Source organism: Homo sapiens, chromosome 7 (genome assembly GCF_000001405.40).
Source record: "Homo sapiens chromosome 7, GRCh38.p14 Primary Assembly".
Classification (NCBI taxonomy): Eukaryota; Metazoa; Chordata; class Mammalia; order Primates; family Hominidae; genus Homo; species Homo sapiens.
The window spans coordinates 26421797-26440117 of NC_000007.14; the positions used below are offsets into that span (position 1 = coordinate 26421797).

The 18321-nt window shown below is 39.9% G+C and overlaps 2 long non-coding RNA genes across 7 annotated transcripts in view; both read left to right on the plus strand.

Moving 5' to 3' along the window:
- The window catches only part of LINC02981 (long intergenic non-protein coding RNA 2981), a 142382-nt gene that overhangs the window by 23228 nt on the left and 100833 nt on the right, over positions 1–18321 (plus strand). The window lies entirely within an intron of this gene.
- Positions 7198–11674, plus strand: LOC105375202 (uncharacterized). The gene is made up of 3 exons (XR_927126.3): positions 7198–7737; positions 8056–8178; positions 8409–11674. It is a non-coding gene; the product is annotated as an uncharacterized LOC105375202 (long non-coding RNA).

Below are 18321 nucleotides of genomic sequence, written 5' to 3' on the forward strand. Positions count from 1 at the left end.
CACCATCCCCCGGATGATGAGTAGGTTCTTGTTCAATTAATTCATGAGAGATCTGGTTGTTTAAAAGACTCTGGGACATTGGTCTTCTTTTTTTCATGCTCCCACTCTCGCCATGTGACATGCTGGCTCCCTGCTGCACTCCGCCATGATTTTAAACTTCCTGAGGCCTCACCAGAAGCAGATGCCAGCACCATGCTTCCGGCAAAACCTGCAGAACTGTGAGCCAATTAAACCTCTTTTCTTTATAAATTACCCAGTCTCAAGTATTTTTTTTTTTTTTTTTTTTTTTGAGATGGAGTTTCACTCTTGTTGCCCAGACTGGAGTGCAATGGCCCAATCTCAGCTCACTGCAACCTCTGCCTCCTGGGTTCAAGTGATTCTTCTGCCTCAGCCTCCCGAGTAACTGGGACTACAGGCGCGTACCACCACGCCAGGCTAATTTTTGTATTTTTAGTAGAGATGTGGTTTCACCATGTTGACCAGGCTGGTCTCGAATTCCTGACCTCAGGTGATTCACCTGCCTGAGCCTCCCGAAGTGTTGGGATTACAGGCGTGAGCCACCGCTTCCACCCTCGAGTATTTTTTTAATAGCAATGCAAAAATGGCCTAATACAGAAACTATGATTGTGTAAGATATGAGCTTTGGGAGAAGCTGGGTGAAGGAATACAGAACTGTCTGTACTATTTTTGCAACTTTCTTAAAGTTATTTCAAGATAAAAAGTTAAACAAAGGGAAAGATGCACTGAAAGAAAAAATACTGCATAAGCTCCAGAAGCTTCTACTGCAGAACCAAGCCTGTAGTCTGGGTTAATTTGAACTTTTTATCTTACACAGTTATGCTTGATTTTGGCCAAAGCTTGAGTAAACCATAGCTTTTGATGGAAAAACAAAACAAAACAACTTTTCTTTGTGTGGGGTCCTTCTTCACAGTTTCTTATTGTGAATAACTTCTTTATTGATAAGTGCATTCAGTAAGGCAGGCGGAGACAATCCCAGTTTGTGGAATGTGGGATTCCAGTTTGTGTGACTTGGATTCCCAGTTTGTGTGAATTATATACTATGTTAGTTATTCTCATGCATCTGCAGGCTGGCCAGGGTCGGCTCTGCTTCATCCTGCAGGTCTGGGTCTGCTCTTTCTCAGATCAAGGATCTAACTGGGACACAGTCTTCTCAAGGTGAGAACAGAAACTCAAGAGGGCAGGCGCCACTACACAAGCACATTGTAGCCTAAGCTTGCGTCCTGCCTGCTAACATCCTGTTAGTCCAAGCAATTCACTTGACCAAGCCCAAAAGTCAGGGCGGTGGGGATGCAGTACATTTGTTTGTGGATGTATCTAATCTAGCATAATACTTCTGGCCTATGTTGCCTCTCTCTGGCCTGCTTTCTGGGCCCTCTTTCCTTGCTTAAGTGCAGATATTGAAAGATTGGCTTGCCCCGACTGATCTGATTCAGTTTCATGAGGGCTATGACTGCTTGGTGGTCTCCCAAAGTGAGAATGCTCCCTCCACAGTACGAGTGGGGTCTTAGAACACTATTTTGCACACTGAGGTGTTATAGAATTGTTTTGAGACCCCCCCCTCAGTTCCTACACAGGTATGTAGACACCATCAGCTTAGCTGAGGCAGGTGCTCCAGGTACCAGGCCTGCCAGTTTTCCAAGATCACCACTCATGTCTGGCTCTCAGGCCCTCTGCAAAGAGTGGCTTGTCCTGCCAGACCCCATGCCACATGGCGAACTCTCTCCTACCATCTCTCATCTCTCTCACAACCTGGCTTCTGGTGCCTTGAGACATGTATGCAATTGTCTGACCAACAGCTATGAAAACAAAGTTCAAGTTGATTGACTTGTTTGTTTGGTTTTTCCCCAGGAGGTTCCTCAGCTCAGTTCCTATTTACACTGGTGGCTGTAAATAGTTAATTCTCAAGAGACTTAGTCCTCTGTTCCAGACAACTAGTGTCTTGAAGTAGAGAGAGTATCTTACTTATGGTCTATCCACTGCAGTGAGTGGCCCCAAATAGTATAAATTGTCAAAAGGCATCTGTTGAACAGAGATAAAATTCTGAGTCCTTCATAATCTGACCCAGTCTAATTTCCCTGGACTCTCCAACATTTCTCTCCACTAGACATTGTCATTTTTCTCATTGTCCCTCAAGTCCCGTACCATTTCTAACCATTACCACAACTTCTCAGTGTCCTGGTTGCCCTCCACTCCACTCAACCCTGGTTGGCTGTCAGGGCTCACCTGGAGCTCACCTGCTGCAGGAAGCCTTCCTGAAACTCACTCACTGCAGAAAGGCTTCCCAGCCACTCCTGCCTTTGATGAACTCTCTCTTTTTCTTTTTTAATTTTAAATTTTTTTAATTTTTATTTTTTTAAAATTTTTTATTATACTTTAAGTTCTAGGGTACATGTGCACAACGTACAGGTTTTTACGTATGTATACATGTGTCATGTTGGTGTGCTGCACCCATTAACTGGTCATTTACATTAGGTATATCTCCTAATGCTATGCCTTCCCCCTCGCCCCACCCCACAACAGGCCCCAGTGTGTAATATTCCCTGCCCTTTGTCCAAGTGTTCTCATTGTTCAATTCCCACCTATGAGTGAGAACATGCAGTGTTTGGTTTTCTGTCCTTGCAATAGTTTGCTGAGAATGATGGTTTCCAGTTTCATCCATGTCCCTACAAAGGACATGAACTCATCCTTTTTTATGGCTGCATAGTATTCCATGGTATATATGTGCCACATTTTCTTAATCCAGTCTATCATTGATGGACATTTGGTTCCAAGTCTTTGCTATTGTGAATAGTGCTGCAATAAACATACATATACATGTCTCTTTATAGCAACATGATTTATAATCCTTTGGGTATATACCCAGTAATGGGATGGCTGGGTCAAACAGTATTTCTAGTTCTAGATCGTTGAGGAATCACCACACTGTCTTCCACAATGGTTGAACTAGTTTACAGTCCCACCAACAGTGTAAAACTGTTCCTATTTCTCCACATCCTCTCCAGCACCTGTTGTTTCCTGACTTTTTAATGATCGCCATTCTAACTGGTGTGAGATGGTATCTCATTGTGGTTTTGATTTGCATTTCTCTGATTGTCAGTGATGATGAGCATTTTTTCATGTGTCTCTTGGCTGCATAAATGTCTTCTTTTGAGAAGTGTCTGTTTATATCCTTTGCCCACTTTTTGATGGGGTTGTTTGATTTTTTTCTTGTAAATTTGTTTAAGTTCTTTGTAGATTCTGGATATTAGCCCTTTGTCAGATGGGTAGATTGTAAAAATTTTCTCCCATTCTGTAGGTTGCCTGGATGAACTCTCTCTTTTTCTATACTCCCAAGCATAGGTAGTCTCAACTGCTATTGTACTTACAGTTATTCTTTTATTTTGTTTTTCTAATTCCATACATAATGCAACAACATAAATTACCTTAAGGAATTTATTAGATTGTAATGTCTTTCTGGTTAGGGCCCAGGTCCAACATTGCTTCTGTATACTGCCTGGCCAGGAATAAGATTTTAAACACACAGTAAGTAGGTACTCAAGAAATTCATAATCAGTTTCAAAATTTAAATCACAAAATAAATCATTTGCTACTTCCCAAATTAAATAACAAATAAACTAGGAATGAAATAATCAGAAAAAAGCAGAAGATATAATCTCTATGTGCATATAAACTGTTCTTAAATATATAGTAGCTTTAAAATATGTGCAACTATTATGTATTCATTTTTTTTTTAAAAGCTAACCAAAGAAATAGTAGCTTTATATTTGAAAGAATATTGGGACTTTGAAGAGGAAAAGTACATTATTCACAAAGAAAAAGTAATCCTGGATTTATTTTTGTCAGATGATGAATCAATGCTAACTATTCTCAACTCTTATCTAAGCATAATTATAGTTTCTATTTTCCCAGTGTTTTGTAGCTTAGTGAGGGCAGACATCACTATCTCCCTCCATTTTATAGAAAGATAAGGAGTTGCTGTTCAGAGCATGCATATGCTTTGCCCAGTGTCCCCAGCTGCTAAATGACATAACCAGGCCTAAGTTGTCTTCTGGCTTCAAATCCACGGTTCTTTCCACCACATGCTCCAACTCTCTGCTCATTGAGGATGAATCCTTTGTTTCACTTTCCTGGGGTAATTGTGTGGCTTTTGTAAAAGATCCATCACTCTGAAGGTGAATTGGACCATCAGGTAAACATTTAAGGAAAGTAGAGGAGCTAAGCTGGAATGTAAGTAGATGCCTGGCATTATAACTGATGGCGTAATTACTTCCCATAACGTGGAGCACCAATCACAGAGTGGGTTTAATAGACAGAGGCTCTTAAGTATTTACAAGTATGGATAAAGTGACTGCCCTTCATCAGTTCAAGCAGGCGCTGGAGTCCGCCTTCCACTGTTAACTGGGACAGTATCAGTGTGAGTATTTCTGGCCCCACCTGGCATTCAGATCCTCTGCCACCCCTATGACCTGCCTTTGTAGCCTTTTCCCCTACCACTTCCCTTTCCTCAGTTTGTCATCCAGCTAAACGGGGGTACCCGGTTTTTGTTCTCCAAACGTAGCCCCCTTTTTCTTGTCTCTCTGACTTGGCACACCTCCAGTGACATTCCTTTCCAGGGTCCAGCTCAAATGCCACCCCTGCTGTGAGGCTGTCCTGTTTTCCCAGCTGGACCTGGCTCCCTTGCCTTTAAATCCACAAGCACTTTCTCTCTCTGTACTTCTCTTATGGCCCTCACCATGCACTGCCTTTATGGTAATAATCATGCTTTTTTTCTTTTCCTTTGAGACTGCAAAACCTTAAAAGAAAGTTTATCAAACCCTAGCGTAGTGCTGGCACATGGCAATTCTCAGTGTGAGCACTGGCTGGGAAAGTGACTGATGAACGCAGGAAGGAGCATCTCACCTACCTGGCTAGCGGGGGTGATTTCAGACGGATCTTTTTGTCCGCCACAGCATCACCCTTAGTGCCCTACGTATAGCAGGTGCTCAGTGTGGCTCTGTAGAAAAGAAAAAAAAGCTTGTGTGGATGAACAAAGGCATAAAGAGTGGATGAACAAAGAATGATTGAACAAATGTCTGGGATACTGAGGTGGAAAATCAAGGTAAACACAAGTCATGCCAGATACCAGAGTCTCTTTAAAAAGAGTCTCTTTAAAAAGAGACTCTGGGCTGGGCGTGGTGGCTCATGCCTGTAATCCTAGCACCTTGGGTGGCAGAGGCAAGCAGATCACCTGAGGTCAGGAGTTCGAGACCAGCCTCACCAACATGGTGAAACCCCCGTCTCTACTAAAAATATAAAAATTAGCTGGGTGTGGTGGCACATGCTTGTAATCCCTGCTACTCGGGAAGCTGAGGCAGGAGAATCATTTGAACCCAGGAGGCAGAGATTGCAGTGAGCCAAATCACATCGCTGCACTCCAGCCTGGTGACAGTGAGACTCCATCTCAAAAATAAATAAATAAAATAAAATAAAATAAAATAAATAAGGACTCTGGATAAATAGCATTTGAAACCAATGAGAACATTCTGGATGTCTGATGAGAGCTTTTGAAATTTCTGCTCTTATTCAAATATAAGAATAAGAAACATGAATGCCTCTTTTCCCCTAGTGATGGTGATACTAAATGAGATATACTAATATTCTATATTCCATACTATTTTTAAAGTAAAAATACTGATTTTTTCAGTATCTTAAATATTTAAGATACTGATATTTAAGGTATCTAAACAACTAAAATACTAGATACCTAAATATCTAAAATATTTAAGTACTGATAACTTAAATATCAGTAACTTTAATATTTAAGTATGGCATTAACAAATATGAGGTCCAGAATTGTTTATATCTTTTTTTTTTTTGAGATGCAGTCTTGCTCTGTCATTTTTTGAGATGCATGTCTTGCAGTCTTGCTCTGTGCAGTGGTGCAATCTCAGCTCACTGCAATCTCCACCTCCTGGGTTCAAGTGATTCTTATGCCTCAGCCTCCCCAGTAGCTGGGATTACAGGAGCCCACCACTACACCCAGGTATTTTTTTTTTTGTATTTTTAGTAGAGATGGGGTTTCACCATATTGGCCAGGTTGGTCTCAAGCTCCTGACCTCAGGTGATCCACCCACCTTGGCCTCCCAAAGTGCTGGGATTACAGGTGTGAGCCACCATGCCTGGCCCAGGAATTGCTTTGATCTTGAAATATATCCAGTGAGTTATACACGGCATTAAGAGTTCACCTGGGCTCACACCCTCCCTGCTGAAAGCCCTTCCAGTACATCCAGTGGTTTTCTTCCCACTTCCGGGGTTAATTGTGAGGCTGGCATTTTCTGTCTGGGTCATTTGTACCCCTAGATTCAGCCCCAGTTTCTGGCCCCTGATGGAGTCACCTTAGAATCAGAGGTGAAGGTGGGGAACAGAAAACCTCAGGCCTGGCCCTGATCCTCTTGCTGGTGGAACAGTCATAGGAACCATATCTTGGCTTTTCATAAAATGTTGATATTTTGGAATTTATTCCACATAATCTATTTTGCAATATTTTAATACAATTTTAAAATATTTTCATTGCAATTACTACTCTCTGTTTAGAATATTAAAAAATTTCACCCAGAATATGGTCTTTTTTCTCTCTCCAAAAACTTCCTCATGTTAGCAATTAAATAGAAGGGGAAAATTAACCAAACTGAGAGATATATTTACTAAACACTTGAAAATGTCCTGCTGTTATATCTTAAGGCTTATTAAGGGGTAGAAGCAGGATTTTTTAAACCCTGGGTGTTGCACCTATTTCCCATGTGTATTTACTTATTTTTACAGTCAAATAAATTCCACTTCCAAATGTGGAAGTGACTTAGTGTTGGATTCCTTTAATGCCCTTCTGATATGGTTAGGTATTGTGCCTCACCCAAATCTCATCTTGAATTGTAATCCCCATAATCCCCACATGTCAAGGGAGAGACCAGGTGGAAGTAATTGGATCATGAGGGCATCCTCCATGCTGTTCTTGTGATAGTGAGTGAGTTCCCACGAGATCTGATGGTTTTATAAGGGGCTCTTCCCACTTTACTCGGCACTTCTTCTTCCTGCTGCCTTGTGAAGAAGAGACCTTGCTTCCCCTTTCACCTTCCGCCATGATTGTAAGTCTCCTGAGGCCTCCCCTGCCATGCTGAACTGTGAGTAAATTAAACCTCTTTCTTTATAAATTACCCAGTCTGGGGCAGTTCTTTATAGCAGTATGAAAATGGACTAATACACCTTGTCTTCAGAAAGACTTTCCCTAGATGCTCAGCACACCTGCTAAATTTCTCCAGTGTGTTGACATTAGAGCAGCCTTGTCCAATAGAGCTTTCTAAGATGATGGAATGTTCTATGTCTGCACCATTCAATACGGCAACTACTAGCCACGTGTGGCTATTGAGCACTTGAAATGTGGCCAGTGTGACTGAGGAACTGAATTTTTTTTTTAGCTTTAATTAAGTGTCAATAGCCACACATAGCTAGTGGCCAGCATACTGGACAGGTCGAATTTAGAAACTCTTCTTTCTGCCACTGTTGACTATGACAAAAGAATGAGTCATAGAGAGGAATGGACTTCTCCCATTCTACTGGGGCAGCCTGGAGAACACTTGGGCTTCGAAGACCACTTCCCTCTGCTCCCCAGGGCCTTCCCCACTGGCTTCAGAGGCGTGACTGAGGGCAAGAAGGAAGAGCCAAGATTCTGTCTACATGTGTGTGAGTTCAGTCTCTTTATTTCCAGCATCTTATTTAAAGGCCACATGCCAAGTATCAATAACAAGCTGGGATCATAACAGTCCTATCCATGCTGTTTTCTAAATTATTGTTTATAGCTTCTTTAATTCTCCATGAAGATGATGAGTCTGTGGAGAATCTTTTTGCAAAGAACAAAAAGCAGAGATCTCTGCGTAAATTACCAGTACCCAAATGAGATGCCTTTTACCACACAGCCTATTCTGCTCACATGTGTTGTTTTGTTGGGGGAGCCTTTTCTTCCCTGCTTTTTTGGTGAGTTGCCACCATTTTGTTCTACAGGATCGACAATGTTAATTCTCATATTGTACATTGTGCCATCTCTCCCTGAACTTTATTGATGTTTTGAAGCAAAACAACCATTTACTCCTCTCCTAAAGATTCCAGTTAATGAGGTGCGCACAGGTGAGCAAGGTGTTTGTATGAAGAAATAAACCCATTAAATAAAAATTATATGAAGAGATGAGCTAGGAGAAAAGGCATACTTGTGTGTTTGTGTGTATGTGCCTGCGTGTGTCTTAGAGGTGCCTGTCAAAGCTTTCTTCTCATACACAAAGATAGAAATATGGAAATCAGAATGAAAAATAAGGGGAATTGGGTTTAGAGCAGCCTCTTAAAATTTGTGCTGTTTCCAGGCCCCTTTGCAGAGCGCCAGCCATTTCCAGGGAGGCACAGTGGTAGCATTTCAGTGCCGTTCTGCTCAGGAAAGACGACCAAACAGCCCTCCTGCCCTCACCTTTGCACACCACACATCTCAGCTTCAACTCGCCATCACGGTGGTCCCAGGCACGGTCGCTGCAACATCAGAAGGGCGGCATTTCAGCAAGCATTTGTTTTTGGGGTAGGGGTAGTGGTAATTACCAGCACATGATTATTTTATTTTGTCTGAATTATTTACAATGGAAGGAAGCAGTTTGGAGGGAAGGGGATATTAGGGAATGAGTTCAATCCCACTTGCATTGATTCTACCCAGAGCAAGAAGAGCAAGCCTATTGAGAAGAAAAATCACTTCCTTTTCTTCCTCTTTCCTCTCCACCCCTAAGTCTTAGAAATAAATAAATAATGCAAAGAAAAGCCCTGGGTGGCTGCATGGGAGGGGCCAGTGGCTGGGTGTCTGTGGCCTTCACTGAGGACTCACTTCCATTATTACATCGGGTCCTGGGCTGGAGCGTTCAGTGGTTCAATTCTTGCTCCCCAGCACTCATCTTGCATGTTGGTGCATAATGAACACCACGTATGGATTGAAATCCCATTTACAGGATGTTCAGTTACGGAACCTGTAATCAGGAGAGGTGGGTTTTAATCCCAGAGGTGTCGTTCCCTTATTGTTTTTTAAATTTAAGATTTATAGTTCTCCAACTTCCAAAAGAACTTGCTGATGTTTTATAGCAGCAAAGGTGGTGAATGAGAGAAAACAGAAGAGAAGCCATCTGAAGAAAGCAGGACATGTTGATGCTTCCAGGCACCAGAGTGGCCATAACAGTTGGGTAATAGGCTCATGGTTGTGCTTCCATTTCTTTTTTGTCAAATAGGGAAAGCAAACCCACCTCCTGCTGTGTGAGGTAACAGGTAGAGTAATGTTTGTGAGAAGAGGCATCCATATCATTTTGGCATGATATTGCATTTCTAAATTTAAAAAAAAAAATGTCAATAGAGGCAGAACATCTCATGACCTAATCCCACTGCAAATCCCTGAAGAGAAATACTCACAGAATAGTGCCCTGGCACACTGAAGATGAGAAACTGGGGCTGCAAGTGCCACCTGAGAGAAATGGGGGTGCTTTTATTCATTTTTTTCTTCAATGAATAACTTTTGAATAAAATGTTAACATACTTACCAACTCATAATATATATGAATTTTAAGACTTTGCAATAAAATGGATGTCTATGTATCTACCCACCTAAATTAAGAAATATGTAATTACTGGCCAGGTGTGGTGGCTCATGCTTGTAATTCCAGTGCTTTGGGAGGCCAAGGAGGGTGAAACTAGCCTGACCAACATGGCGAAACCCCGTCTCTACTAAAAATACAAAAAGTAACTGACTGTGGTGGTGTGCACCTGTAATCCCAGCTACTCAGGAGGCTGAGGCAGGAGAATTGCTTGAACCCCGAACGCAGAGGTTGCAGTGAGCCGAGTTCATGCCGTTGCATGCCAACCTAGGTGACAGAGTGAGACTTTGTCTAAAAAAAAAGAAATATATAATTCCTATCATTGAAACTCCAATAATACCCCTCTTAGTCCCAAGGTAACCACTATCATGATTTTGTGCATATTGTCCTTCCGCTTTTTAAAAACAAATTTTGCGTGTATTTGAACCATATGCAATTGGAATTATACTGATATATTCTATGAATTGGTTTTCTTCACCTAATATTATGTTTGTGAGATTTGTTCAAGTTGATACTTATAACCTATTTTATTCATTATCACTACGGTTTGCTATTTTGTTGTATGATTACTCTAAGACTTATCCATTCTCTTACTGATCATCATCTAGATGTCTCCATTTTTTAAATTACAAACCACATTGCCATGAATATTCTAATATAAATGTCTTTTGGTACACAGATCTAGGAGTTTCTCCATTGTATTTGCCTGAGAGTAGCATTGCTAGCTCATAAGAAAGGGGTGTCTTCAACTTTATTAGATCTTGCCAAGATCTTAGTCCAATCTGTACTCCCAACAGCAATGTTCATGAAGGAACTCAAGAAATTTTTATCAACTATGAGCTGATTCAACTCCTCGCAACTAAGAGGAAAAGTTAATAGGAAAGAGAGACTGCATGGCTAACAGAAATCCACAGACAATGATGATGGTGGTGATGATTACCGTAATCACAATGACATAATGATGATTACCATAATAACAATGACCAGGACAAGAACAACAAACCCATAGTGCTTAATATGTGCCAGGCACTGTTCTGAACAGTTCACACATCTGGCACAGTGCCTGGCACATAGTAAAGACTCATTCAATCTTTACAATTACTCTAAGAGATTTGTACTGTAATCTCCACTTAGCAGGTAAAGAAACTGAAACACAGAGAGGTTAAGAAACTTGCTTAAGTTATGGCTGATAAATGTCGAAGCTGGAATTTGAGTGGTTGCTCTGAACTACATGCTTCGTTAAAAATTTTAATTTAGTTTTTCTTGGCATTACCATTCATGGACTTTATCTTTTAATTTTATTTTCTTTTTAATTGACAAATGGTAATTGAATACATTTGTGGCATACAATGTGGTATTTTGATTCACCTATACATTGTCCTTGCTTCATTTTAGCCAATCGCTTATGAGTTCATGCTAAATGAACCAGTAATAAGAGCAGCTACATGACTGATGGATGACTGGTCACTCTGCCATTTGAAGTGGGGGACTTACTTTTCTAATCATACTCCTTATTACACACTCTATTTTACAGCTCTCTTCACTGAGAGTTTTGATTGTATTTAGATTTCATCACAATTTGATTCTTAAGAAGCAAGGGAAAAGCATTCTTTCTCGGATAGCATGGAATTTGGATGACCACTTTGGCTAATGTAAAAAAAAAATGTGAGGTGTTCTTAAACCAAAACTTCTCAAATCCTAACTTAACGTAATCTACCTGAAATCAATGTTATGGTTACTGGCACTTGACAAGACTGGAAGAGAAATAACTTTTCGTAACAGCTCATCTTCACATAGCTAATGATAGGTACCATTGTTTTTTGGGCAAAGTGATGGGGGAGGATATTAACTATTTCAAAGGTTGTTCAAAATGACTAAAATATAACATAATAATATTGTCATAGGCATATAGGCATAGCTATTTTTGTCATGGAAAACATCAGCAGAAATGAAGAACCATATGTATATTTATACCTTAGGATCAATAAAACTATATTTTTTGGTCCATATTTTTCAGATTAGTCATTTACGTGGTATCTCTAATTCACAATTTTCCTCTTCCCTTTTTGTCTGTGTAGACATACATTTGAACAGGGTAGAAAAGTGGTGTTACTAAAACTTAATACTTGGAATCTTTCTTTATGATCTGTCTTTAAAAGTAAACACATTATTATGATTCATAGCAATGTTCTCAGGATAATAATTTGTTTGTTTGTTTAAAACAGAAATATTTACATGAAAACTCAATACAAAGTCCAAATAATTAAGCTCTTCCTAAGCCAGAGTAGGCATATTTCATGCTGAAATATGCCATTTTAATGTTGAAAGAAAAAAAAGAAAGTCTTTAAAGATTTGGCCTGAAGAATAAATTCCAAAATGGGAAACAACACTTGCCCTGTAATGAGATGTAAATCATAACTCTGACATTTGTCTTCTCCTGGTGAATTCAATTCCTCACAGAAGTACAGAGTGGGAAAGAAAATATTGGAAGTGGGAGTAATAAAGTCAATACAGCAGGCTTCACGTGTATAAATGACACTTTCTTCACAACATGAGAGTAACAGGCAGACCTGCCTAAGACATATTCCCCTTTTCTAAGAATATTCCTGACTTTAAGGATTTCATCAATGTATTTACTATCTCACATCTCACTAGTGGGAGGATTACTGGGCTGTGGGACAGCCCCCTTTAAAAAGGCAACTGTTTTAGAGACTGTAAAGAAGCATTGGGCCATTTACATGTGAGCGTAAGTTGATTTAATCAGATGGTTTTCCTTTTGGCAGCCAACTGGGAGGGTCTACATTGAGGGATCCAGAGTTCTGAATTTAGGGGCTGAAACAATTGAGGGGAGGGAAGTGAGGGATGAGTGACACAGAGGTGAGGGGTTAGAGCAACCATGAAGATGCTGAGCTCATGGAGAGAGATATGAGCATTGTTGAAAGCGGGTGAAGAAAGAGAGCTGGGAAGACAAATTTGGCTTACTTAAAAATGTGCCAGCATCACCTGATGCTAGGCTGTTATTGTTATTTCTCTTAACATTAAGTTGGTTTTGGAGAGCTAATATGATATTCAACTATGACTTGAAATTTGTTTTTATGGAAAAATGCATTCAGAATGTAGTAGATTGAATAATTGGCTCCAATTCTTTACCCCTTTGCTTTAGCCTCAATTGAGCAAAGTATATTTTCCTAACCCTTGTCTTTGGCCCATCTATGAAACTTGTTTTGGCCAACCACATGTGGGCAAAAGTGTGCCAGTCCTGATCTCAGGCCTTAAGAGGCTTTGTCTTTCTCTGCTTGTCCTCTTGTCCTCCTTTGTGTTTCTGCCATCTCCATGAGCTAAGCTTTCCATAGGTAGCTGTTACCCCTTTAGCTGACCTGCAACTTGAAGCAGAGCTGTGAAGTCCAGTACCAGCTTAAATAACCTGATCTCCAGCCTATGTGCAGATATGTGAGAACAAATGATAGTTGTTTTAAGTCACTCTGTTTTTTGAGATCGTTTGTTACACAACATCTTTTTGGTCTTAACTAACTGATACACAGAGTTCTAAAGAACCCTCTTACAAGTGAACTCTTGGAATATAACCGGTTGGTACGTTGAGATTTTCTTGCATTTCAACAAGATCCCTACTCTCTTTTTAATGAGAATTTTTGTGTGTTTTTTATTTGGTTTCAGCCCACAGTTAAGATAAGAGCATAATTTGTTACATGATCAGATAAAGCTTAACAGAGAGTATGGCTTGTACCTATAGATAAGCACTCATAGCTATTGCATATAGCAATGGTTTCCAGCTGACTCTGTGAAGTTCTAGGACCTGCAGTGGGTTCTTATAAAGGCCACCTTGGGGTGGAGTTCCGGCCTCTTCTCCTTCACATAGCTTCAGCCATAGCAGAGCTATTTTTATTTGTGTTGTATACTAGGCTTCCTTGTAAGATTTTGTCTAATTGAAAGGTGGAAATAAGTTGAAAACCTATAGTGAACCCCTCACTTTTCCTGGGACCCATGGTCTTCCACACATGGGCATGCTATCCTTTTTTGCCTAGCTAGCTAGCTAGCTCTCTCTTTCCACTTCTCTGCAAAGCTCCTATCCATTCTTCCATATTTCTTCCTTCAACAGATAGGACCAAATTGCCATCCCTTTAAGTGTGGGCTGTACTTAGTAACTTTTAATGAGTTGAATGTACAGGAAGTGATGGTGTCTGATGTCCAAGATTTGGAGGACTTTGGGCTATAAAAGGGATTGTGGCATCTCTCTCTCTCTCTCTCTGTCTCTCTCTTATTCATTAAGCATTATGGGTTTCCTCATTCTGGGGAAAGCCAGTTGACATTTCATGAGAATACTCAAGCAGCTCCATGGAAAAGGCTACACGAGAGGAACTGAGCCCTCCTGCTAACAGCCATGTGAGTGATTTTGATTGCAACCTCATGAGAAACCTTGAGCCAGCTCTTGAATTCTTGACCGACAGAAACTGTGAGGGAAAAAAAAAGTTTGTTGTTTTAAGTTGCTATGTTTTGCAGTAATTTCATATGCAGCAATATATAACCAATATGATACCCACTAAAGAGATTCTTTTCTATGATAGTCTTCTGAAATGCCTGTTAATAATTTTCTTCTTTTTTATTGCCCTTAATATGTACGTCGTTTGCAGGATTTATTCCACTGCATTACCTATTTACATATCTTTTTCCTCCATTAGACTATGAGATATTTGTATTCTCAGATGTCTGGCACAGTCCTTGGCATCTTACATATTGGATAAAGAATGAAAAAAATAGCTACTGCACAAGTTGTAAAAATCACTCAGAGAAGAATAAGACAGACAAAGGATAAAAAATAGCCATCTCTATCTTTGCCAAAGTAATTCTCAATTTTGACCAGAGATTATAAATGACTCAGATAGAGTCAATGCTGTATTTTTCCACCACATGTTGACATATAAACCAGTTCTTTGCACTCTTGTTTTAGCAAATGATAAGCATTCCTGCTCAGATGGTGTATCTAGAATAACAGAGTCTATAACTGAGTAGGAGGGGTGTTTTGACTAGGTTTACAGGTGAACAAGGTGGAAATCTATCACTATCCAAAACAAGCTTTGGATTTATGGTTTTGACCAAGTGTAAACAGAAGGCATATAATTTATCAAGCTGTAGAGAGCTTTTGGTGGTTTCAGAGGCCAGAGCTATACAGTCAAATCAAAATGGTGGAAGTAGCATCTGATTAATTCCATGTGGGCCCAGCAAATTGGAATGAGAGCCTTCTGGATATGCCAGGCTACACAGGTCTGAACAATTAGGTATTTAAAATTGAGTTTTAATGATGATGATGATGATGATTTGTGTTTTTATTTTGATGATCATCTAAATAATTAGTAGAGGAATATTATGGGTCATCTGGAGGTCAGACAAAAAACTTAGAACTGCCATGTGATTTCGGGTCTCGACTTTATGACTCAGCATGGCTCACATGCCCCTTAAGTGACAGAGTTTAACTTGTAATGCACTATTTCTCAGATTGGGGTGTGTGCGCTTGTAATTTTAAGGATCTACAAGTTCTTACATTTGGGAAACAGTGATAGAAACAAGAAATGCTTCCTCGGAGGATGGATTAGTGATATTTCATCTGGGGAGCCAAGCAAGGGAAGGCTTTCTGAGGGAGCTGGCATCTTAGATGGCCCTCAAGGACAGACCCTGTGTGCCTTCTCTTATCAAGTGTCCACTTAAAGGAACTGCTTGATAAAAATCCCCCGCTTCCAGAGGCCATTCATTACTCCCTGGTTATTCTTTGAGAGCCTCTGTGTGTTAGTTCTGTTTAATTACAGTGTGCTGCAGACTGAAGAAGGAATGCAAACATTGTGTGGAGGGAGGCATGAGAAAAGAAAGTGTGGGGCTTCAAGAGGGAACAGGAAATAGTTCAGTTTAACTACAGGTCAGGAGATGCAGGGTGTAGTGGGGCATGGGATGCAAGGCTGGCGATGGCCTATTGTGAAGGACAAGGCATTTTTTTTTTCTCTGTGTTTTATCCCCTGTAATTAGGAAGGGAGTGTTTCTGCGTTGTTTTTTTTTTTTTGCTGGGGTAGTCATTTTATACTGATGGAGATGATTCTGACAAGGCTGCAGATATGTCTGCAAGTCATGACATGCTGACAAGTCATGATAATATTGTTGAATAACTATCTTAGCATCATTTTGTTGAAGAGCTCTTGCTTACCTGTAAAGTTTCTGGGCACATGGGAAGTTTTTAATTCATGTATCATCTTTGATTTTTGTAGAAGACATATTTTTAATGTGTGCCTTGCCTTTGCTGAAGGCTGTAGCTGGGAAGTCACATGTAAACTGCATGACCCTGGTCAGAGCCCCTTACCCACTCTTATCCCCACCCTGGATGATTAAATCCAACTGGCACCGGACCTTGGGAGAGCCAATCCATTGTCTGGGCTGAGCTAATCAGACTCGCTCTTGTGGGAATTTGGACACTGAGAAACTGAGAAAGATGAAGATGGCTTTAGAACTGAAAGGTCATGCCAAATTAACCCACGCTGAATGCAGAGAAAGCTAGTCGAAAGACAGAGGTGAAGAGAGAAGAAGAAAAGCATGGCAGAGGTGAAATACACGTAGAGAGAATCACCCTGATTTCTCATTTTCCAATTCCAATTTTAGTTCCAATTTGGTCTGCATATAATTTGTTTCCTGTCTGTTTCTAATCCTCTGCAGGATTTCCCGCTGTATTTTTACAGTAAAATCTTCCACACTTAAGCTTACTTGAGTGGCTTACTTTTTCTTGCATCCACACATGACCTTTCTAAAGTAATGCTGAGTTTGCAAATGAAGCCATTGGTTCTCAAGAGACTGTTGGGCTGAAGGGAGTAATGTCAGCTCATTAGTTTGGGTGCTAAACCAACTTCCACTCATGAAGCAAGAGGGAGGCATGGATAGCTTCAGCTTATTAATGGGAACTCTGGGAAACAAGGTAGCAAGTACAACTTGACCAATGTTGGAAGAGATTCTGCCTCTCAATATGACCAATGATGGGCTATAGACCTCAGCAGTCACTATGGTCTACGCTGACCACAGCTGAGAATGTTTTGGCAAAGAGCTGAGGTGAGTAAACACAGTGACTACGTATTCTTCTACTCACAAAGAAGAATAAAAAATTAAGAGTTACGTATATATATTATTGAGTTATTATTAAGAGTTACATATATATAAAAAATGCCCATATTATATATTATAAATTTTCTAATATAAATGTAACTCTTAATTTTTTATTCCTTTTGTGAGTAACAAAATCCTACAGTTGAAGAAAAGAAAAGTCATTGCCATTCTTTCAGGCGTCTGATGAAATCTAAAGCTCTCTTTGTACTAACTGCAAGATTTAATCAGGAGTGGATAATATGAATGTATCTACCATAATGAATTTCAAGTTTTACTACCTTCAGACATTGTCAGTAACTGCATTTCTAGGGTATGTAACTTGTAATTGAAAATCTATGTTTTAGTTCCACCTGTCATTTTTTAAATTCTGTTCAAAGAATGTCTGTTATAAAAATATATTTTCTATCAAAAGTTATGCTTTAGAGGAAAGGTGTATCATTAGAAATTAGCAATTTCAACATGTTGGTGATTTGGAATTTTTTGGAATAATTTGCTGTTTTTCAGAGTTGTTGAAATTATACAAAGGGCCTTCATTCTGATAAGTAATGAATTTAGTAAGGATGAGGTGGCAATGAGAAATATTATTTTAAAGTCAACTTCCTTTGAAATCCTAAGAATCTTCTTTAGACAGACATGCAGCTGGAAATAGCAGGGACTAAACCAACAGGGGATGGAGACCCTGGGGATTTTCTTTGCATTTTTTCTGGGAAGAAGTTCTGCTCTTCTGACATTCATCTACTCATCTCTGGGAATTCTATTCTTCAAGTACAGAGGCTAATGGCTGCATAATGAAGTTTTGCTTATCCTCTCTCTTGCTAGATTTCTTTGAGCATGAATTTTACAAGGAATAACCAAACTGAACCAGAAAAAGGCATTGATATTATGGGATTGCATCAATAGCATTGGCTGCTTCATTTCCATTCACTTATCAGACATATTTACTTCTCAGATATTTCCTTAACTGGAATTGACTGTACTATAATTGCCTATTTCTTTGGTCCATTGGCTGTTAACCTTGAAGTGACTGGGGTAGGGCTGGCGAGGCCTTCCCTGTCAGGCCTGACCTCTCACTATGCTGGAGAGAGCGCTGCCATGACAACGGCGACAGATGTCAGCTAAGCAATGTGCACCCTAGAAAGACTCCTGTATTGAGAAAATCGATCTTGTAATGGTGCCACGGAGCACATTCGCTGAACTGCCAAGTGTTCTAGGCTTAATCATTTATTTCATCTAGCAGAGAGAAGAAAACATAAAAGAAATGAAATGAATTTGACCTCTGTCTTTTGAGTGACTTTAGTACTACACTGAATTCTAGCAAGTACCTCTTATGAATTTTAAAAAATTACATTAGGAATAACATTTTGAAGTGAAATGACTCTTGTAATGCCAACCCTCCAGAAGCATGTTATTTCAAATGTCAGATACCTAATAGTCATTTGCTGTTTTCTGTGTATGTCTGGGGGTTAGCTCCATCTTGAGTATGTTTCAGGCAAATTATTATGAA